Genomic DNA, 23152 nt, shown 5'->3' with positions numbered 1-23152 from the left:
TTTCAACTCCCTCCTCTGAGACTGAGAAACCTGGATTCTATTTTAGGCAACATACATATTTATCTGCTTAATCCTAGGGGAAAAGACTTTACCAAGTGGGGTTCAGTATTTGTTGACACTTCTTTTTTATTTTTATTTTTTTGAGCCTAGGGGTTACTATAGATATACAATACATATATACACAATTCTTTTTGTCAATTAAAACAATAGATTTTTTAAAAAAAACCCACAATATAGCCTGGAAATTGCTCCACAATGCTTCACAGAGATCTCCCCTCCTCAGGTCCTGCACAGTTCTTCGCTGTGTGAAGACAGCGCTTATTCAACCTGCCTCGTATGTGTGAGCATTTAGGCTGTTTCTGGTATTTCACAATTATTAACAAACCGGTATGGAATAACCTGTGCATATGTATTTGCATATCTTTAAAGGCCATTTTTATGTTGTCTTGAGGGTAAATTCCTAGAAGCAGGGTTGCCAGTCAGGAAGCCAGTGAACCCAAAACTTCGTTAAAGTACCCAGCGGGAAGTTCCGTTCTGACTCCTACCCCACTCAGAGGCGTCTGGGGACACCCATGTCACGGTGCTGCTAGGCTGGGTAACTTGCCAGTTTGAGAGTATCTCAGTGTAGTTTTCATTTGCATTTCTCTTCTTACAGGTGAAGTTGAACATCTTTTCATTTTTTGAGTGGCATTTTAGTGTCTTTTTGGTGAGTCATCTATTTATGTTTCTGGCACTTTGTACTTTTATAAACCTAATTTTTACTCTTAGTTGTGTTTCTTCCTGTTTTCAGTGGAAAAAAAGGCAATTTTAAGAAATAAAAGCTTTCTGTCTGCTGCTGAACTTGCCTAGTTGAAATCACTATTTTATTCTTTGGCCAGACATGTGGATTTGAATCCATGAAAGGCCAGAAATTCTGTCAACAGGTGCCTGGCCCCCTCCCAGGCTGTCTCAGGGCGCATGGACAGGGCTGTCTCCTCTCTGTCTTTAGGATGGTTGACAGCAACTTCTGAGGGGGTGGAGCAGGAGGGGAGGAAGGTGGCAGATACTTGACCTCTGACCATCAGTCATCCCAGCCCTCCCTCCACCCTGTTATCCTCTTGATACTTGGCAAAAATAACCCAGCCGGCCCCTCCTGCCTGCAGAACCTGCTGGTTGAAGGTGTTAGAGCCAAACTTGGCCGCACGTGGGAACCACCTGGGATGGTTTAAAAATATCCAGGTGCCTTCTTTCCCACCCACAGAGATTCTGGTTAATTATCCTATGGAACAGCTGGGACATCCAGATTCTTTTTTTTAGACAGGGTCTTACTCTGTCACCCAGGCTGGAGTGTAGTGGCATGATCATAGCTCACTGAAGCTCCAACCTTCTGGGCTCAAGCAGTCCTCCCAACTCAGCTTCCCAGGTAGCTGGGACCATAGGAGTGCACCGCCACACCCAGCTATTTTTTCTTTGTGGGGTAGAGATGGGGTCTTGCTATGTTGCCCAGGCTGGTCTCAAACTCCTGGGCTCAAGCAATCCTCCTGCCTTGGCCTCTTAAAGTGCTGGGATTACAGGTGTGAGCTACTGTGCCCAGCCTATCCAGATTTTTTTTTTTGAGACGGAGTCTTGCTCTGTCACCAGGCTGGAGTACAAGGGTGTGATCTTGGCTCACTGCAACCTCCACCTTCCGGGTTCCAGTGATTCTCCTGTCTCAGCCTCCCAAGTAGCTGGGATTACAGGCACACACCACCATGCCCAGCTAGTTTTTGAATTTTTAGTAGAGATGGGGTTTCACCATGTTGGCCAGGATGGTCTCGATCTCTTGACCTCGTCATCCACACGCCTCAACCTCCAAAAGTGCTAGGATTACAGGCGTGAGCCACCGCGCTCCGCCTCCAGATTCCTAAAAGCTTCCCAGGTGGCTTGGTGCTGAAACTGGCTGGCCTAGGAAACATAAGCAGGAAGCCTGGCCAAGGAGGAGACGCGAGACTCGAACTGTGCAAGCCCTCATGCACCCTTCACATTGGCGAGAATTGCCCCAGACTGACCTCTCCCCAGAGCGTGACGGGTCAGCTACTGGCTGGATTGAGGGTGAAATTTAGGGAATTTGTTGGAGACCCCAGGTCTTGTGTGATGAGCGGGAATGAATGCACCTGGGAGGGAGTGCTCAGGGCAATGGAGTCCGTGTGACCCCTGCTGGGGCGTGGGGCCAGCTGCAGCCTGCAGAAGCACCTAGTGCAGCCCCATTCCCTCCAAGTAGGTAAGCCCAGGTGATTTCAGTCCTGCACAGCTGAGACTCAGAGCTCCTAAGGGTCTTGCTCATGTGACACATACAGAAATAGTGCAGAGAAGAGGGAACACAGTCCAGACTTTCAGAGTTCTGGAACCTTCATTTCCACAGTCGTGACCGGGAACAGAGATGCATACTCATGAAGGGGCTACTCTGCAGGTGCGAGGCTTGGGTTTTTATCTAGGTGGCTTCATTTTGTCTTCACTGACCGTAGTTATTGCATCAGCTCTGATTCATCAGTTACCAAAACTCTAACCCAAACTGTGCTTAAGCAGAGAGGGGAATTTATTAGTGAGACTGACCTGTCAGAGGCTGGGCACTGATAGGGTCATTGCGTGTAGTTACGTAAGCTTTATGCCACATCAGATGCTAACGCCTGCTACACACACCACAGCACTGCAGATTTGCTCACCTCACTAGACAGTTGTCAGCGGTCAGCACCTCTTTTTAGTTTGTGCAAAGGGGTCATATGACCAGTAATGGTTTAGGAGCTCAAATACTGTGTGTAGATTCTTGGTCTCTCTGCACTTCTCAGCCAATGGCTCACATGCTTCTGGGCTAGAGGGCCATGGAAAGGAGCCTTTTTGTATAACTCCCACAACAATGCTGAGGCTAGTTAATTACTAGTTAATTACCAGCTCAGCTCACCTGTCTAGCCCTGAGCCAATCACTGTGCCCAGGAGAATGATACCCTCCGATTGGCTAAGGTGTGGTCACATGACTGACCCTAAGCAGCAGGGGCACCCAGATCACCTGGACTCAGTTGAGGAACAATAGATTAGTCCACAAGGAAAGCTAGGTGTCCTTGCCACCAAGAGGAGGCATGGCTGCTGGAATACAGACTGCGAATGGCAGCTGTCCACCGCGGCAGTTATTCTGGTTTTAAGGTAAGAAAATTGAGAATCTGAGATATTATGTACTTTTTTTGAGACAGGGTCTTGCCATGTTGGCCAGGCTGGTCTTGAACTCCTGGGCTCAAGTGATCCTCCTGCCTTGGCCTCCCAAAGTGCTGGGATTACAGGCGTGAGCCATCGTGCTGGGCCAATTATGTCATTTTCAACATCATGGGGCTTGTAGAGGGCAGGTGGGTGGTGTGTCTGAATACAAGTCTGCCTGGCCATGATGCAGGTGGCCTGCGTGACACGCCAGCTGTGATACTTCAGAGCCCTGGTGCGTGCCGCCATGTGAAATTGCACATGGGTTCAAGGGGCTCTGGCGTCTTTACGTCAAATGCTCAATCAGAGAAACAGGGTCCAGGGAAGGCCCCCACCTCACCCACCAAAGAGCCGAACCTGGGGTGGGGGCGCAGGCAGGGTGGCCCCACTCCTGCAGCCTCCAGCATGGGGCAGGAGAGTAGTTTCTGTCATGGGCCCCAGAGTTCAAGGCAGCTGGAGTCTGTGCTCACCAGCCCAGAGACCGCAACTCTTCCAACCCTGAGGCTCCAGCTTCGTCCAGATTTCTCCATATTCACGACCCCATTTCAGGCCATGCCTGTCTCCCAGTTTCCCCTCATACGGTTCCCACCAGAATCCTGCCCCTCCTCAGAGACCTCCATCCTCCTTGGTCCGTTGTTCACGTGGCAATAAGAACAGTCACCGAGAGGAGATTCCCATGAGATTCCAGAGAGAAGGGTAGAGAATGAAGAGAGGAGGTTCCTGCTCCCTTCCTGAATGCATGGTGCAGCACTAGCCTGGCCCTCTGCCTGTCTCGTAGACACAGGAGCCACCTGTGGCCATCGAGCTCTGGAACTGTGGCTTGACTGAACAGAAATGTGTCATGTTAAGATTTTTGAAGACGTAGTAAAAGAATGGGCTGGGCGTGGTGGCTCACGCCTGTAATCACAGCACTTTGGAAGGCTGAGGCAGGTGGACTGCTTGAGCCTAAGAGGTGGAGGTTGCAATGAGCCGAGATTGTGCCACTACTCCAGCCATGGTGACAGAGTGACCCTGTGCGGGAAAAGAAAAGAGAATGTAAAATAGTATTAATAACTCTTTTTTTTTTTTTTTGAGATGGAGTCTTGCTCTGTCACCCAGGCTGGAGTGCAGTGACAAGATCTCAGCTCACTGCAACCTCTTCCTCATGGGTTCAAGCAATTCTCCTGTCTTGGCCTCCCAAGTAGCTGGAATTACAGGTGCATGCCACCATGCCTGGCTAATTTTTGTATTTTTTAGTAGAGATGAGGTTTCACTATGTTGGCCAGGCTGGTATCTAACTCCTGACCTCAGATGATCTGCCCACCTTGGCCTCCCAAAATGCTGGGATTACGGGCATGAGCCACCGTGCCCGGCCGGCATTAATAATTTTAATTATTAATTCATTCCATGTTGAAATGGTAATATTTTGGATATATTGAGTGAAATAAAATATGAAAATTAGTTTTATCTGTTACTTCCACTTTTTTTTTTTTGTTTGAGACAGAGTCTCGCTCTGTCGCTCAGGCTGGAGTGCAGTGGCATGATCTGGGCTCACTGCAACATACGCCTCCCGGGTTCACGCCATTCTCCTGCCTCAGCCTCCGAGTAGCTGGGACTACAGGCGCCACCACCACGCCTGGCTAATTTTTTGTATTTTTAGTAGAGATGGGGTTTCACCGTGTTAGCCAGGATGGTCTCGATCTCCTGACCTCGTGATCCACCTGCCTTGGCCTCCCAGAGTGCTGGGATTACAGGCATAAGCCACCGCACCCGGCCGACATTAATAATTTTAATTATTCATTCCATGTTGAAATGGTAATATTTCGGATACATTGAGTGAAATAAAATATGAAAATTAGTTTTATCTGTTACTTTCCACTTTTTTTAAGGTGACCACTAGACAGTGTAAAGTTATGCAGGTGGCTGACACGGTGTTTCTCTTGGATAGCACTGGGTGAGCCCACTCTTGACCTTGTCATATACAGATCTTCAGTCTTTCCACAAAGGGGGATGAAGATGATTTACGGGGAGTCCCTGTGCTGGCATGGTGGAGGGAGGGAGGCTGGCATGGTGGAGGAAGGGAGGTTGGCATGGTGGAGGAAGGGAGGTTGGCATGGTGGAGGAAGGGAGATTGAGTGAGGTGAGGATGCCAAGAGCATGGTTTAGAGCCGAGAGTTTCAGCATTTTTTCTCACGTTGTGCACTTGCATCTCCGCCTGGTCTATTGCCACCCGCCTCCCTGTGCAAGACCATCACTCACATTCTTCTGGGATACAGGACACAGCAACGAAGGCTCAGCGGGTGCGGGCTGGTTGCAGGAGCAGAGTCCTCTCCTGCCCAGAACCCGGCTCGGGAGGGAGCTTGTTTTTTCTCATAAAATGGCCCCAGCCTTGCTCCTCTGTGGACTCAGGGCAACCGGAGGCTGCAGCTACCGCGCTTGCCTATGAATATTTAAGTGGCAGTTTAGCTTTCAGACCAAGCACATCAGTGGCCAAGATCAAGCTTTTTGACCTTTTGTCAATTTACTCAGTGAAATATGATGCTCCTGGTCTCCTTTTTTTAAACTGTTGTCTGCCGTCTTCTTTTTTTTCATAGTTGAAATGGCTGCGTGTTCCCCACATGCAGCATAGAGACTGTGAGTGTTCGCACCGATTGCAAATACACGAGTGCAAATGACAGATTCGTGTTCTTGCCCAGAAGGTAGGTGCGTGTTGGCGGCTTCAGAGATGGCCTGACTGTGTGGAGTTTCGGGACCAGTGGCTGCTAGACAGTAGCCAGCACAGGCGGTGTGTGTTAGTATTTGCTCAGGCTGGGCTCAGAGAACCCTTCATGTCAACACGCGAGCCTGGCTTGTGCTGTTCCCTCCTCAGGGCTGACCTTCCCTCCTCAGGCTCCTGGAAGCCGTGGCCTTCCGGTCACAAAGCTGCTCTCCTGAGCTGGGGCATTCATTGTTGGTTACTGCCGTCGTCTTTTAAGTACTGGGAAGGTGGGACGGAGTCGTGGAGAGAGGATGGGGGAACAACCCAAGCCCTTGGGAGGCAGCGTCACGTTGCTGAACTCTGCTCCTAAGCAAATGCGCGTGTGGAATACGGTTTGCCTTGTGTCCAGCCGTGCGTTCTCTGATTTTAAATATTCTCAGCCAGGCCTGTTTAAGGCCAGATAAATAGAACACCAAAAGGGAAATGTAAAAAACAACTCGTTGGGTAGCTGGTTCCGTGTAACATCAGAGGTTGGGGATCGCACACTGAAACGAGATAAAATGTTTGAGTGGAAGGCGGGACCTGGGGCCCAGTGCGCTGGGGCTCCATCCTCCGCCCTCACTGCCCCCCGCAGCTGGGGCTCCATCCTCCGCCCTCACTGCCCCCCGCAGCTGGGGCTCCATCCTCCGCCCTCACTGCCCCCCGCAGCTGGGGCTCCATCCTCTGCCCTCACTGCCCCCGCACAGCCCTTCTGCGGGTCACTTCTCCCCTGTGCCCTGGACGGAGGTGCCGGTGGATGCCGCTGCATTGCTTCGACGATGGATCTTTCTCTGTCTTCCATCCCCCAAGCTCTATCAGTTTAGTTATGAGAATATCCAAACCACATCTGACCTCGTCTGAACTTAGAACTTTTTCTTTCTCCTCCCGGGGCCTGCTTCCGGCTGGGAGCCTGCAGTGTGTGTAGAGGGGGTGATCTCTGCTTTATTTCCTGGCTGTTATGAGCTGAATTGTGGCCCTCCCATCCCACAAAGGTGTTGAAGTCCTAACTCCCAGTACCTGTGAATGTGACCTTATTTGCAAATAGGGTCTTTGCAGATGGGCAAAGTTAAGATGAGGACATGAGGATGTGCCCTCATCCCATATGACTAGTGTTCTTTAAGGGAGGGAAATTTGGCCACGTGTGGTGACACACACCTGTAATCCCAGCTTTGAAAGGCCAAGCTGGGAGGATTGCTTCAGCCCAGGAGTTTGAGATCAACCTGAACAACATAGCAAGACCCTATCTCTAGAAATAAAAATGTAAAAAAATAGTAGGCATGGTGGTACACACCTATAGTCCCAGGTCTGTAGGAGACTGAGGCAGGAGGATCACTTGAGCCTGGGAGTTCAATGCAGTGAGCTATGATTACACTAATGCACTCCTGCCTGGGTGAAAGAGTGAGACCGTTTTAATTTTTTTTTGACAGGGTATCATTCTGTTGCCCAGGCTGGAGTGCAGTGGTGCAATCTTGGCTCACTGCAACCTCCTCCCCCCAGGCTCAAACCATCCTGCCACCTCAGCCTCCCAAGTAGCTGGGACCACAGGTGTGCACCACCACACCCGGCTAATGAGATCTTGCTTTTTTTTTTAGTACATAAATTTTAGAAAGTTAATAACATAAAAATTTTAGAAAGGGGAAGTTTGGGCACAGAGATAGACAAACGTGGAGGGAAGACGGTGTGAAGACGCGGGGAGGTCGCTCACAAGCGGAGGAGTGCCTGAGGCTGCCAGGAGTCAGGGGGAGCCCGGGGCAGATTCTCCTGACAGCCTCAGAAAGAAACAGGCCTGCTGGGGCTGCTTGATCTCAGACTTCCAGCCTCCAGAGCTGAGAGAGGAAATTTCTGTTGTTTAAGACACTTGGTTTGTGGCATTTTGTTTGCCTCAGGACACAAATGCACTGGCTTAGTCCCAGGAGAGGGGACATGAAAGGGAAAGCTTCTCTCTGTATGACGCTGTCAGGAGCTGGCCCAGCCCCACTGGGACGGGCAGAATTCTAGCCCCTGCCTGCCAGGGGTCCCTGGAGATCCTACTTCGTCCTCCTCTTCCCTCCCTTCCCCTGTGGGAGGGAAGGTGCCTCTCAGATGGCTCCCTTGTGATTCTTGCCGGGTCCCCCAACCCCTTTAAGAACCATCTTCCATAGAACATTAGACAAACCGAGGCTCGCTCTCTCGCTCCTGGCCCTCCCGGGGCCCACACAGAAACCTCTCTTTATTCTGCTGGCAGAGCAGCTGGCCATGTCCCTTCTCCCCACCCTCCACCGTGTCCCCAGCCCCAAGCCTGCAGGCCGGCCTTGCTGGAACCCATGCTCTAAGATGGACATGAGAGAGCTTCCTCCATTCCCCAGAAGGGCTGGATTCCAGGACAGCGCTCCCACCAGCATCCTCCTTTCACTCCTGGCTCTCCCAGCATCTTCCCTCTTGTCTCCTCTGCCATGGGCTGCGTGGTGCCTCCGCCCACATTCCCGTCGCCTGTGCCTTGACCTGAGCTGCTCTGTCTGAAGCCAACGTCCCTCCCTTTTCATTCTGGCTGGCTTCAAGATGGTGTCCAAACAAGGGCAAATTCGAGGAGCTGAGGGAGAGCTGAAGTTGATGGTGTGTGTGTGTGCACATATGTATCTGTGTTTGCCTGTATATACATGTGTGTGCCTGTGTGTGAATGTTTGAATAATTGAACTCTGTTCGCTCTGTGTAGTAACCACACATTTTTTTCTGTGTCTATGCAACATTTACAAACATAGATCATATTTTTAGTTCAGAAAGAAAATCTCAATAAATTCCCTAAAGTGGAAATCAATGGTTTGGGGCCTGTTCTATGGCCCCAGAGCCTCCCTCCACTGCTGGTGTTTCTCTGACTCTCCGCCCTGCCCACCCCTCCTTGGTCTTTTCCTCCCTCTCATGTGTCCTCCTCAGGTCCTGTCTTCCTCTCTCCCACAGATATTTGAATAGTTACAATGCATCAGGCAAGATAAATAAGGTCCTTACAGAGTTTGCATTCTCACAGAGTGGCAGACAGTTGGTATATAACGAGGTAATTTCAGACAGCAGCAAGAGCAATGAAGAAAATAAAACAGGGAAGTAATGCTGGCTGGCAGGGTGGGGCGATGTTACACGCTGGAGAGGCCTTTGCTGCCCCGCCTAGGGCACACTCCTCTTTGTCCTCTGTCCAGCACCCCATTCTCTCCCTGTAGAGACCTCTAGTGTGTCATTTGTGTGTTTTCTGCATCCAGATTGCTGGGTTATGTTGATATGGTTTGGATGTGTGTCTCCCCCAAATCTCATGTGAAATGTGATCCCAGTGCTGGAGGTAGGACCTGGTGGGAGGTGTTTGGGTCACGGGAGCAGGTCCCTCATGAATGGCTGGGCACTATCCCTGGGTGATAAGTGAGTTCTTGCTCAGTTAGTTCATGTGAATTCTGGTTGTTGAAAAGTGTGTGGCACCTCCTCCCTGGCTTTCTTGCTGTTGCTGTCACTGTGTGACATGCTGGCTCCTCTTTGTCTTCCACCATGATTGGAAGCTTCCTGAGGCCTCACTAGAAGCTGAGCAGATGCCTGCACCCTGTTTTCTGTACAGCCTGCAGAACCATGAGCCAATCAAGTCTGTTTTCCTTATAAATTACCCAGCCTCAGTATTTCTTTATAGCAATACAAAAATGGCCTAACATGGAAAATTGGTACAGAGGAGTGGGGCATTGCTATAAAGATACCTGAAAGTGTGGAAGCAGCTTTGGGACTGGGTAATAGGCAGAGGGTGGAAGAGTTTGGAGAGCTCAGAAGAAGACAGGAAGGTGAGGAATTGTTTGGAACTCCTTGGAGAGTGGTTAAATGGTTGTGACCAAAATGCCAATAGTGATTTGGACAGTGAAGTCCAGGCTGATGTGGTCTCAGCTGGAAATGAGAAAGTTAAGGGAACTGGAGTAAAGATCACCCATATTATGCCTAAGCAAAGAACCTGGCTGCATTGTATCTGTGTCCTAGGGCTTTATGGAAGTTTGAACTTAAAAGAGTGATAACCTAGGGTATCTGGTGGAAGAAATTTCTAAGAAGCAAAGCATTCAAGATGGGACCTGGCTGCTTCTAATAACCTATGCTCAGATACAGAAGCAAAGAAATGACTTAAAGTTGGAACTTATAGTTAAAAAGGAAGCAGAGCATAAAAGTTTCAGAAATTCACAACCTAGCCATGTGGCAGAGAAGGAAAAAGCATTTTCAAAAGAGGAATCCAAGCAGGCTGTGGAGTGACTACTTGCTAGAGAAACTAGCATGACTAAAAAGGACCCAAGTGCTAATATCCAAGACAACAGGAAACAGGCCTCAAATGCATTTCAGAGATCTTTTAGGCAGCCCCTCCCATCACAGCCCAGAGGCCTAGGAGGAAAGAATAGTTTCAGGGGCCAGGTCCAGGGCCCCGCTGCCCTGCACAGCTTCAGGACACTGCTCCCTGCATCCTGGGCACTCTGACTCCAGCCTCAGCTCAAAGGACCCTGGGTGTAGCTTGGGCCAGAGTTCTGAGGGTGCAAGCCATTAGCCTTTGGGGCTTCCACATGTTGTTAAGCCTGCGGGTGCACAGAATGCAAGCATGAAGGAGGCTTGGTGGCTTCCACCTAGATTTCAGAAGATTTATGGGAAAGTCTGGGTTCCAAGCTAGAAGCCTGCCACAGGGGTGGAGCCCCCACAGAAAAGCTCCGCTAGGACAGGCTGAGGGGAACTGTGGGGTTGCAGCTCCCACACAGAGTCCCCACTGGGGCACTGCCCAGTGGAGTTGGTGAGAAGAGGGTCACCCTTCAGGCCCCAGAATGGTAGATCCACCAACAGCTTGCATTCTGAGCCTGGAAAAGCCACAGGCACTTAACTCTAACCTGTGAGAGCAGCCGTGGGAGCTGCACCCTGCAAAGCCACAGGAGCCTACCCCTTGCACCAGTGTGCCCGGATGTGGGGCACGGAGTCAAGGATTATTTTGGAGATTTAAGATCTAATGACTGCCCTGCTATGTTTCAGAGTGGTATGGGCCTTGTTGCCCCTTTCTTTGGCCAATTTGTCACATTTGGAATGGGAATCTTTACCCAACGCCTAGACCACCACTGTATCTTGGAAGTAAACGACGTGATTTTACAGGCTCATAGGTAGAAGGAACTTATCTGCAAATGAGACTTAGAGCTTGGGACTTGAGACGTGGGACTTCTGAGTAAATGCTGGAATGAGTTAAGACTTTGGAGGACTGTTGGGAAGGCATGATTGTATTTTGCAATATGAGAAGGACATGAGATTTGGGGGACCAGGGGCAGAATGATACGGTTGGGATGTTGGCCCCCTCCAAATCTCATGTCAAAATGTGATCCTCACTGTTGGGAAGGGGCCTTGTGGGAGGTGATTGGATCATGGGGGTGGATCCCTCATCAACGGCTTAGCACCATTGTGAGTCCTCACTTGGTTAGTTCACGTGAGATCTGATTGTTTAAAAGGGTGGCACTTCTCCCCTTGCTCTCTTGCTCCCATTCTTGCCACGTGATGTGCTGGCTTCCCTTTGTATTCCACCATAATTGTAAGTTCTGTGAGGTCTCACCAGAAGCAGGTGCTGGCACCATGCTGCCTGTACACCCTGCAGAACCATGAGCCAATTAAAACTCTTTTCTTTATAAATCACCCAGGTTCAGGTATTTCTTTATAGCAATGAAAAAACAATATAATACATATGGCAAAACCTAAGAGCCCTGCAAGACCACTGAGATGCTCCATATCCTCAAGGGAATGCAGATACGGCCCAATATAATCCTTTAAGAAATTGATAATAGAAACCCCCACTCTGCAAATCTAACCATTGGACAATATTAACAAAAATGAGCGTAACAGATGAAAAAGTGAGGGCACCAAAGAGGGAAACAAAACTACAAGCCATTTAGAAGTTAAGGACAAGGATCTTACATTCTAAGGGTTGGCAAACTTTTTTGGAAAAAAGTCAGATGGTAAACATGTTCAGCTTTGCAGGCTAGAAAGTCTTTGTGGCAACAACTAAACTTTGCTGCCATATACTAAGGCAGCCATAGATACTATGTAAACAAGTGGTGTGGCTGTGTTCCAACAAAACTTCATTTACAAAAACAGGTGGTGGGCCAGATTTGGCCTAAAGGCTACATAGTTTCCTGGGTCCTGCTATATACCAATACATAAGGTTATGCCAAAGCTACACTCCAAGGAAAATACATAGCTTCAGATCCTCTTATATGAAGAAGAGTATTTAAAAAACCCAAATTAATCAAAACATTCAATGCTAGAAACCAGAAGACTAACAAGATAAAGCTGAGGCAGGAGGGAAGAGTAAATAAAGAGAAAAGCAGAACACAATGATTTAGTAGACAACAGCAGAACCAGCAAACAACCTCAAAGCCTGGTGCTTTTTAAAACTTCTATGAAATAAAATGCTTTTAATTCCTAAACATTTTTTTTTTAACATCAAAAAGCTTTCCAAAAGCTATAATATGATAACTGCTAAGACACAGGACTTGTTCAGTCTCTCAACGAAGAGTAGAGCTGGTACATAATCCTGCAGATAATTAAATTCCAAGCACAAATTCATAATGTGAAATGTGTTAAATTCATGAATGTGCATCACTAGAAATCTTTAACTTAAGACTCTCACAAAGGGCTGGTTCTTTGAAAAGACACACAGACATGAAAAGATTCAGCTCGAAGGGTGTTTCCAGATCCCACCCAGGTGAAGTTTTGCTTTCTTCTGGGTTCATCGCTGCGTTTTCCATTAGCCTGAGGACCGCCATGCCAGGACGGCTGTGCCGTGGGCAGGCTCCAGGGCTGCCCGTGGTTTTCTCCTCTATAAAGTGGGAATGACCATCTCACCTGCTCAATAGGGGAGTGGTGAGCATGACACGGCTTCATACATACGCATCACAGGCTCAGCACCCTGCCTTGCACATGGGAAGAACTCCGAGATGTTGACAGCCTCCTCAACGCCATCGCCCTGCCATCTATGTCATCATAGTCCTTACGTTCCCCTCTAACAATGGATGCTTTGGAACCTGTCTTTCAGAGCCCCCTGAGGTCTCCTCAGGCCGCCAGCAGGGCCCGCTGATCTCTCTCACACCTGCCTGAGTGCCCTGCAGAATAAAATTGAAAAGTGCTGAGCTTTGTGGGACCCCAGATGTTGGTCTTTTGCAGAAAGCATCCCTGAGAAGCTTTGCTTGGAGGTAGAGATGCTTTAAGAAGCCAGGAGTGGAGCCTCAGTCCTGACCCAGGCTGTAGTTCTTCATTCTCAACAGAAATAAGTGGCTCGGAAGCTTTCTCAGCCTCCGCCAAGCATCCTTCCTGTGACATTTACAAAGCAGTTTCTTTTCTTTTCTTTCTTTTTTTTTTTTTTTTTTAAAAAAAACAAGGCTGTGTAAATTTTTGTTCAAGAAAATGCTGCTTGAAATCTCTCTGATATTTTCCTCCAAGGTCAGCAGGCTTGCATTTATTACCAGCGATTTTCTTTTAGGGCATAGGCCTAATTTAAATTATAAAAGCAATTGCTTGTTTTGAGGGGAAAAATCTCTCCCCCGACGCTCCACTTTGCCCCCCAGAAAACAATGATCGGTTAAGAAAACAACTCAGAGTCTCCCTTGTTTACTGAGTTGGTGGAAAGGGGTCTTCAGACAATTAGAGTAAATCTGGGCTTGGACTGAGGTCAGTATTTGTATTTGAAAGCACAATTTTCAGAAGGCTTCCACGGCGGATTTCAAATGCCAAGACAGGAGCATGCTCTGGGGACCCATCCGCTCACATGTGCTGCTGGAGGGGACACGGAGCCCCCAGGTGGGCAGGCCCCTGTGACTGGGTCACGCCCTATGGCAGGGCTTCCCTGCTGAATCCACAGATAAAGAAAACAAGTGTTGTGAGAAGCTTGCATTTAGCAAAGTGGTAGCAACGAGCAGAAGGCTGGCTGGAGTAGGAAGAGCACACATGCGGTGTTAAGAGCAGTTCTATTTAGAGCCCCAGGCTGGGAGCTGGCAGCACGTTTCGGAAGGGTGCCCAGATGTCCCCTGGAGGTTTTTAAGAATGGACCCGGCAGCTGGCTGCTGGGGAAGGTGGGCACGAGTCAGCACCCAGGGACCACGCTGCACATGAAGGGCAGAAATGTACCCTTTGGACAGCTTGCAAGCTGCCCACCAAGCCCCCTTGGTGCTGGGGGCAAGGCAGCAGCCGCAATTTTCTGTGTAGACTGCCTCCTTGGTTGCCTGCGAGTCCCCACTGCGTCTCCCCGAGGGTTCACCCCACACTGGAGGAGCAGGTCCTCAGGTTTGGTTTTTTTTTTTCAGCTTCAACAATATACTCTGCACCTCCCTCATCTCTGAGAGTCTCGTACCGCTTGTTCCTGTTGAATCTCCGACCTGCAGACAAGGCTTGACTTTGGAGTCTCCTGAGCCTATGGGTTGAAGGGAGGTGGGGCAGCTTCTCCAGGGCCCGCAGAGTGTGAAGTGCTGGGGTCACTGAGTAGAGTACTCCCAGCACCCGCACGTCCTCTTCGGGGGCTGGGGTAGCAGGGCACCCCTCCCTGTTCGGGTGCTGTCTTGGTGAAACTGTGAGCAGGGGGCAGGGAGACCACATCTCTGATTTTCTCAGGGCTGAGAGGATCTCCAGGGCTGAAAGTGGGAAAATCCAGGCCTACCAGGGTGAGTGAGTTGGTCCTCCTAGCATGGGGTATCCATTGTTTGGGGGTCTCCTATGTGGCCCGCGCTGTCTCTCCAAGGAAGAGTCTGCTAGCCGTTCACCCCGGATTTTTCCCCATTGCACAGAACGGCTGTGGGAAGCCACTTCTCAGCGGAGGGGCACATTTCCCAGCAGCCCTTGGGTCTGGGTGGCCACGTGGCTTGTTCTGGCCAATGGGAGAGTGGAGCCCTGAGTCGGGGGAAGGCGCCGCCCTTCCCAGTACCCCACTGGCTGGATGCGGAGGCCATGAGGCCCCAGGGGTTGGGCGGCCACGGAGGGAGGGGCCTGGGTCTCTAAGTCACTGCATGGAGCGGAGCGGCCTCCGGCCGGGAGCACTCATCTCTCCGCTGAGGAGGAGAGAAACGTACGTCGCAGCAAGCCCCACATTCCAGCGCCTTACTTGGCCTAGAGGCTGGCTTTGCAGTCACACACGCGCTTGGCACGGTTCTGTCCCTCCGGTTGCTCTCTTGTCCATAGCTTCCTCCTGCCACCTCCGTACCCACCTCCATACCCACCTCCGACTGAGCCTATCGGCCGCCACGAAGGGCAGGAAAAGCCGGGAGATCTGCTCCCGTGCCTCTGAGTCAGGAGGTCATTGAGGATCATGGAATCCACATGAAAATGGTGTTCAGGGCCCACAGTATTTAACCCGTGGTGCTGCAAAAATTACCATGTGCGATCCGTTTCTCGGCGGCTCACGCCTGGAATCCCAGCACTTTGGGAGGCCGAGGCGGGCAGATCACCTGAGGTCAGGAGTTCGAGACCAGCCTGACCAACATGGAGAAACCCTGTCCCTACTAAAAATACAAAATTAGCTGGGCGTGGTGGTGCAGGCCTGTAATCCCAGCTACTCGGGAGGCTGAGGAGCGAGAATCGCTTGAACCCGGGAGGCGGAGGTTGCGGTGAGCCGAGATCGCGCCACTGCACTCCAGCCTGGGCAACAAGAGCGAAACTCCGTCTCAAAAAAAAAAAAAAAGATACTAATTTTAGATAGTTTTTAACTTGATTATGATTAATGGAGTAACATATATTTATTGTAGAAAAAATTTTAAAGCACAGAAAATAATTTAGAAAAACACATACCTCATTAAAATCATCATGGATAACATCAGATGTATATAGCTTGAATTTGATTTTGCTGGGGGATTTAGAAGACGCATACAGATGGAATGTATTTTAAGGGGATATTACGAAGTTTTTATTTTCTCCTTTATGCTTTTCAATTTTTTTTACAATGAATACCTTATGTGTGTAATTCTAAAAGATAAGATGATTCAGTCCTGTCCATTATGATCCTTTAAATAAATTTATGAAGGTGGAATTTCTGGGTCAAAAAACCATGTTTTTAGGGCATTTGAGAAGTGAGAGTTCGTGTCTGTTTCCTCTTCCATTAGTGGCGCACGAAATGGGATTTCCCCTTTTCCCTTGACAGCTGTGAGAAACATTTTTTCATCTTTAGTATTTACTGTTGAAAATTTAGAAAAGAAAGATGTGTAAAAGTTTAGGAACTCATAATCTAGGGATGTATCTGCTCGGTGATGATCAGCGCGTGACTCCTGACATGCCCTTTGGCTTTCTGTACCACGTGAGGCGGGTGTGTACACACGTGTGTTCACATGTGTGTGCACACGTGTGTGCATGTGTTATCCAACGGAGCTGGGGTCCAACTCACCCACTGCAGTCGGGCCAAACAGCCACACCGAGGTTTGCAGCATGAGAAAGAGAGGCATTTAGTGCAGGGCGTCTAGCGGGGAGAACCTTATGTGGAAGACCCGGACTGCCAGATGGCTTAAAGGGGAGGGTCTTTAAAGGCAGAGAGGTAGAGGTTACCAGCAAAGTCACACACCAATACATGGAGGTTATGCATTGGTTTGATTTAAAGGGTGGGATCTCTGGATGCAGGGGCTTACAAATTGTAGGTATATGCAAAGATTTTCTGATTTGTAGTTGGTTAGGAGGAGAAACTTTGTGTAAAAATTTAGGGTCAGCAGAAAAGAATGTTAGCTCTGGCTCATGGGTGTGACCTCCTCCAGGCCCCTCAGGAAGAAATTTAGAACAAAGACTGGTGCTCAGAGCTCAGTCCTCCGCTCTCCGTAGCTGAGGTCTAGGTGCAGGTGAATCCATTTTGGTGGGGGTCTGGGTTTCTGAAAAACAACCCAGAGACAGATGTGATGATGCTTTAGCTTCTATAGGGAAGCAAACATCTCCTGACTCTAACTCCCTTGGCTGTTGTTTTAAGCTGCTATTACCTTCTTTTTTGTTGTTGGTTTTTTTGAGACAGTCTTGCTTTGTCACCTAGGCTGGAGTGCAGTGGTGCGATCTCAGCTCACTGCAACCTCCACCCCCCGGGTTCAAGAGAGTCTCCTGCCTCAGCGTCCCGAGTAGCTAGGATTACAGGTGTGCACCATCACGCCTCGCTAATTTTTGTATTTTTATTAGGGGCAGGGTTTCACCATGTTGGCTAAGCTGGTCTTGAATACTATTAGCTTTTTCCTTCTCAAGTTGCTTATTTACTTCCCAGGGCCAATTAGGTGCCTGGAATTCCCCGTGAAGGAACCCAAGATTTTCCTTTATTTCCATGCTGAGGGGAGGGGACCCACAGGCCCCTTAAGATGGGTCCCCACTCTGCCTCACATGCATATGTCTGTCCCGTGAGAATTGCGTAGGCTAAGGCTGGGCCTCTAGGCCAGGAGATGGGGAGCAGGTGCAGCTGGCAAACACCAATGTGGCTCCTGGGCTGCTGGGCGTCCTCACCCACTGTCATGCCCATGGCGCCTGTGTGTCGTGGCTGCAGAGTCTGAACTGCTGGGTTCTCAGCCCTGGTTCAGGGACTCTGTGTGTGAGTTGTGCGACCTGCAATAAATCATTCGCCCCTGGAGGCGGCTTTCTCTTGCCCTGTAGGAGATGACATCAACGATTTTTTTCCAACTCTAGCTTTGTACAATTTTAAGTTTTAGATAGGGCTTCTCTTTTCCTGACAATGGGGTAAATTTGAAGCTCCCTATACCTCTAAGATTGGTTGTCATTCTTCTTGTGGAGATGCGTGTGCTTGCGACCTTGGATTGGGGCAAGAAAGCATCTGAAAACAGGACCTCGAGGAGGAAATGGGAGCAGAGGGCCATTAGGAGCTGGAGGAAACAATCCCTTTTGCAGTAGTGAGGGAGGTAGCGAGGGAGGTGGCGAGGGAGGTGGCAAGGGAGGTGGAGAGGGAAGTGGTGAGGGAGGTGGAGAGGCAGGTGGTGAGGGAGGTGGTGAGGGAGGTGGTGAGGGAGGTGGTGAGGGAGGTGGTGAGGGAGGTGGTGAGGCAGGTGGAGAGGGAAGTGGTGAGGGAGGTGGAGAGGCAGGTGGTGAGGGAGGTGGTGAGGCAGGTGGAGAGGGAAGTGGTGAGGGAGGTGGAGAGGCAGGTGGTGAGGGAGGTGGAGAGGGAGGTGGAGAGGGAAGTGGTGAGGGAGGTGGAGAGGCAGGTGGTGAGGGAGGTGGAGAGGCAGGTGGTGAGGGAGGTGGAGAGGCAGGTGGTGAGGGAGGTGGAGAGGGAGGTGGAGAGGGAAGTGGTGAGGGAGGTGGAGAGGCAGGTGGTGAGGGAGGTGGAGAGGGAACTGGCTGCCGCACCACAGATTTCAATGCTTGGGTGAAACGCAAAGTGTTGTTCCCTGGGTTTTTTCTTTCCTTCTTTAAAAGCATAGGAGTGCAAACAAAGCTATTCAGTGACTTAGTAACTGAAAAGAGCTTTAATGAATCCATTTAGTTAGGCAAGGAAGACTAAACTGTAAAGAGTTGGTTTCAGATTTCTGTTGGTAAGAAATCTTTCTATTCAAAGAAAGTGCATCTCCAAGTGGCTTAAATATAAAAAGCATGTGTAAGTTTAAATAACCTGAAAGTCCAGCGATAAGGAAGAGATCAGGCACGGTTTGATCCAGAGACTTAATGTCATCAGCGAGGACTTTGTTTCTTCTCATCCTTCTCTCTGCTCTTTGGGCTAACGCCGACTCCTCTTGTAGCCACAAAATGGCTTTGACCTTGTCCCCCAGGCTATGTGCTTGCTCCAGTGGGAGAGGGCATGACTTTCTCCAATCCTAAAGTTCACTTTGAACTGGCTTGAGTTCTCTGCCCATCCCGTGTCCTGACTGTAGGGGTGGAAGGTGCTGGCTGGTTAACCCGATATCACATCCAGCCAGTGCTGGGGAAGAGCAGTGAACTTCAGGGGCCTGGAGGGAGTAACTCCAATGTCTGTAGCATACAAAATTCAATTCTGGTTTATTTTCTCCTCTGGATAATAGAAGTTGGTTTTGGGGGAGCGGTGTGCTGGTAAAAGCTGTGATTTGTAGAGAGCAGCCTGGCCAGCATGGTGAAACCCGTCTCTATTAAAAATACAAAAATTTGCCAGGCGTGGTGGACACACCGTAGTCCCAGCTACTCGGGGACCTGAGGCGGGAGACTCTCTTGAACCTGGGAGGTGGACGGAGGCTGCAGTGAGCCAAGATTGCGCCACTGCACTCCAGTCTGGGCAACAGAGTGAGACTGTCTCAAAAAAAAAAAAAAAAGTTCTGATTTGTAGTCTTTGCCTATTTCTGTGGTGTAAACACTCCAACCACAACTGATTTCAAACTACCTGTGACTTAACAACGGGTTCACAGTGTTCCTGAGTATTTCACAGTTTGAGAGACTAGGCGCTGGCTCCCGGACCCAACTGGGAGAATGTCCTTGGTCATTGCCGCTGGCAGGTGCTGCTTAAGGGGCCTGTGTGGGGAAACCCAGTGGGCCACAGCCCTTGAAGTCAGTCAGCATGTGAAGTCAGCCAGAGCCGTTGGGTGCTTTGCCCAGTGACTCTGTGCCACGTTCTCAGGCCGGAGGATGATTTCAGACATACCTAAGTAACGCAGTGGTTGTGGCCATATGCTCCTGAGGGCTCAGGGTCTCTGTCCTGTGGCTTTTCCGACGTCACTCGCTAGCCTTGCTGCCCCTGAAGTCTGACGGTGATTAGGATCACTTGGCTTCAAAATGTCTCCCGTAATTCCTGGGCTTTATACGCAGACACTGGGCTTAGACGCAGGTGTGCTACCTTGCACAAATTAATTTGCACTTGATGATACGGCTCCTCGAAGTAAGGATACTTTTAATCTTCCCATCCCATTTATATAGATTCTTTGTGATGGTTAATCTTCCCAGACTGGATAATGAATTCGGCCACAGGTAGAGTCCAGATCGATGTGCGATTGTATTTTAAATGCAGCAGGCGTCTCAGGGCTGGATCTTACGGTGCTCTTAACCAAGGTGACACGTGTCTGCCCTAATGGATTAAGAGCTGAGCAGCTCATGAAAGCTAATTTGTCTAAAACCACGGGGCAGGACGTGGTGTGTTTCCTCACAGCACCCTCTCTGCCTTCCAGTCTTGTAGCAAGTGTGTGTGTGTGAGTGAGTTCGAGGCCTTGTTAGGGAGTCTGCCTCTCCACTTCCTTTCCTTCGTCTCAATGGGAGAGGCTACAGGCCCCTGAATCCACAGTATAGCTTTTCTGCCAGTGAGAGCGGAATCCTTCATGTCCATCAGGACTGTTGGTGAGCACTGTTTTGGGAGGGTGGCTGCCTGGGCTCCAGCTCCTGCCTCAGGGCCTTTGCATGTGCTGTGCCAGCCGCCTGGGATCTCTCTCTGTCTCTGTCTCAGCATGGCCACCTCCGCTTCACTGCTCTAGGCTTTGCTCAGAGGACACCTTCTTGGGGGGCCCACCTTGACCACACTGTCTAAAATCGCTGCCCCTCGCAGACCCCACTGCTTGCTCTCCAGTTTCCTTGTTCTCTTTCACTCTCATGAGCTGAAACTGGCTGTTGTCTGCTTGCGTGTTTCTTGCCTCTGTTGCTCTGTGGGCATGTCTGCTCCTTGGGGCAGGACCTTACCCTTGCCCCGTGTTATTCACTGACACATGTCCCACGCAGGTGTTCAATAAATGTGAATGGAAGGACATGGAGCAGTGGTCCCCGCCTCCGCAGAGTGCAGCCTGGGTGGGCTTGCTTTCCCTCCGCATGTATAGAATTTGTTTTCTTATCTGTAAAGTGGGGGACCTGTCCCTGACCTAGTGATTTCTTTCTTCTCCCCAGTTCCATGGGGCACCTGCCCCTGACCTAGTGATTTCTGTAGGCAACAGCTCTCCTGTCCCCAGTCCCATGGGGTGCCTGTCCATGGCCCAGTGATTTCTGTAGGGACCGGCTTTCATCTCTGTGCTTCCATGGTCCTGGTCCTCAGGAGGTTTGGGCTCCGCCTTCCTGCCCTTCATCCTCTCCTGCTGGTCGCTTGTGGGGCTCACCTCTCCCTGACACAGGAGACATATGCTCCACACACATCACAGGACCTGCCAATGGGAGTGGGGAGCTGCTGCTGTGGCCCGTGCACCCGGGGCCAGGGCGAGTGTGAGCTCCCTGCGTTCCACAGGCAGGAGGCCTACATGTCACTGTGCAGGGGGGAACTCTCACCGGGGCTTAGCTCTCCTCTTAAAATGAAAGGTTGGCACAGGTTGGCAGGTGGCTGTTGCGGGGACTTCGTGTAAGCACAGCCAGCTGAGCCAGGACCCCTGAGGCAGCTGTTGGAGAACCATCGCCGTTTAGAGAGGCAGGGATTTGGAATGTGTCCAGTCCGAGACTCAAACTCCAGAGCAGGTGGGGATATAAATTCATGCCATTCTGGGGAAAGAATTGATGGCGCTCCACGGAGGGAAGCAGGTTCCCTCCTTCTAGCCCCTCTCTCAGTGAGCGGCAGTGTGGCCTGGCCGAGAGGGCACGTGACCCGTTCAGAGCCAGCCTGGTTCAGATCAAGGTGCCTGTGACCTGCTGGTGTGAGCTTCAATGTGTAGCCTAGTTTTCTTATCCCCAAGGTGGAGATAATGATGGGACTTGACTTATAAGGTTGTTGCTATCAGGATTAAATGAGTGACTTTAAGCAAAACATCGTGGACAGTGCCTGGTGCTTGGAAGAGGATAGATGCATGTTAGTCGATGTGGGTTGTCGAAGTAATAAAGGTTATTATTCCTAGTCGGATAGTCTGACTTATAAGACTAAACCCAGGCTGGGCATGGTGGCTCACGCCTGTAATCCCAACACTTTAGGAGGCCAAAGCGGGCAGATCACCTGAGGTCAGGAGTTCAAGACCAGCCTGGCCAACATGGCGACACCCCGTCTCCACTAAAAATACAAAAATTAGCTGGGCGTGGTAGCGGGCACTTGTAGTCCCAGCTACTCAGGAGGCTGAGGCAGGAGAATTCCTTGAACCCGGGAGGTGGAGGTTACAGTGAGCTGAGATCGCGCCATTGCACTCTAGCCTGGGTGATGAGAGCAAAACTCCATCTCAAAAAAACACAAAACAAAACAAAACTAAACTAAACCCAGAGTCCCAGCCGGAGCCAGGGCCTCTCCCTGGAGTGTGGGGCATCATTTGGGGTGTCCTGGAGGGGAAGCCATCTTCTCTTTCTGGTCTGCCTTTGATTCCCACATCCCGTCCCCTGAGCCCTGAGTACCAATGCAAAGATCTTTCAGGCTCTAGTGGCAGGAAGCTGGGGGTACAGTGGTTAGAAACATGGCTTTAGCACCAGAGACGTGGCTTTGACTCTGGGCTCTGCTATTTACAAACTGTGTGACCTTAGACACAGCATTTGACCTCTGGTTGCCTCAGTTTTCTCATCTGTACAATGGGGGTAGTGGCTTATCTATAGAGTCAGGGTGGGGATTAATGACGTACAGCACTGAGGTATGACCCCATCCTCGGATGGCCCTGGCGAGCTGTCATTGTCACCTATGGCTTTGAGGGGCCCAGCCCGGTGCAGCCACGCTCGGCACCCCTTGCTGTGTTGACCACTCTGTCCTCCTGGTTTACTCTCCAGCCAAGCATAAGGGGCATGAGGTGCCCTGAGGCTGACTCATTTTCCCGGAGTGCTCTCAGCACGGCCACCTCTTCCTTCCCCAGGACTCCAGGAACAACACAGGCGCAGTTTGTTTTTCTGTTTTGCACGGCAGTTAATTCCCAGGCACTAATGAGGGGCTCTCTGCCCATGAGGCTGATTAGCAGAGAAGAATTGAGGGCGGCAGTTATGATGCAGAAGAAAGGCAAAGCGCTGCAGTCACCATCCTAAATCCAGCCCGTGATGCCGGGCCGAGTGTCCGGCAGTCACCATCCTAAATCCAGCCCGTGATGCCGGGCCGAGTGTCCGGCAGTCACCATCCTAAATCCAGCCCGTGATGCCGGGCCGAGTGTCCGGCAGTCACCATCCTAAATCCAGCCCGTGAAGCCGGGCCGAGTGTCCGGCAGTCACCATCCTAAATCCAGCCCGTGATGCCGGGCCGAGTGTCCGGCAGTCACCATGAGATGAAGGCTTCCTGCAGTCTTGGGAGACCTGGCCCTTGCAGTGCGGTCAGGGCTCACGATTTAGCTTTCTGTCCTTGGAATGGCAAACAGAAGAGGACTTGGGACCATCTGACCCTTCTGTGATCTCGTAATTATGACTGCATGCCTGCCAGTGGCTGCGAGTAGAGCACTGTGCTGGCATTCCAAGGCACGT

General features: G+C 50.4%; 1 protein-coding gene across 19 annotated transcripts in view, besides 1 other annotated feature; it reads left to right on the top strand.

Moving 5' to 3' along the window:
- The window catches only part of RIMBP2 (RIMS binding protein 2), a 320167-nt gene that overhangs the window by 52051 nt on the left and 244964 nt on the right, over positions 1-23152 (top strand). The window lies entirely within an intron of this gene.
- Positions 2956-3455: an enhancer, noted in NCBI's record as "H3K4me1 hESC enhancer chr12:131145339-131145838 (GRCh37/hg19 assembly coordinates)". NCBI's record gives its function as "activates a minimal SCP1, AML or CMV promoter by ChIP-STARR-seq in naive H9 embryonic stem cells {active_cell/tissue: H9 hESC(naive)}" and the evidence as "EXISTENCE:reporter gene assay evidence [ECO:0000049][PMID:30033119]".

Source organism: Homo sapiens, chromosome 12, assembly GCF_000001405.40.
Source record: "Homo sapiens chromosome 12, GRCh38.p14 Primary Assembly".
NCBI lineage: Eukaryota > Metazoa > Chordata > Mammalia > Primates > Hominidae > Homo > Homo sapiens.
Note: the sequence above shows the minus strand (reverse complement) of the source record. Positions and strands in the feature narration are given on the sequence as shown.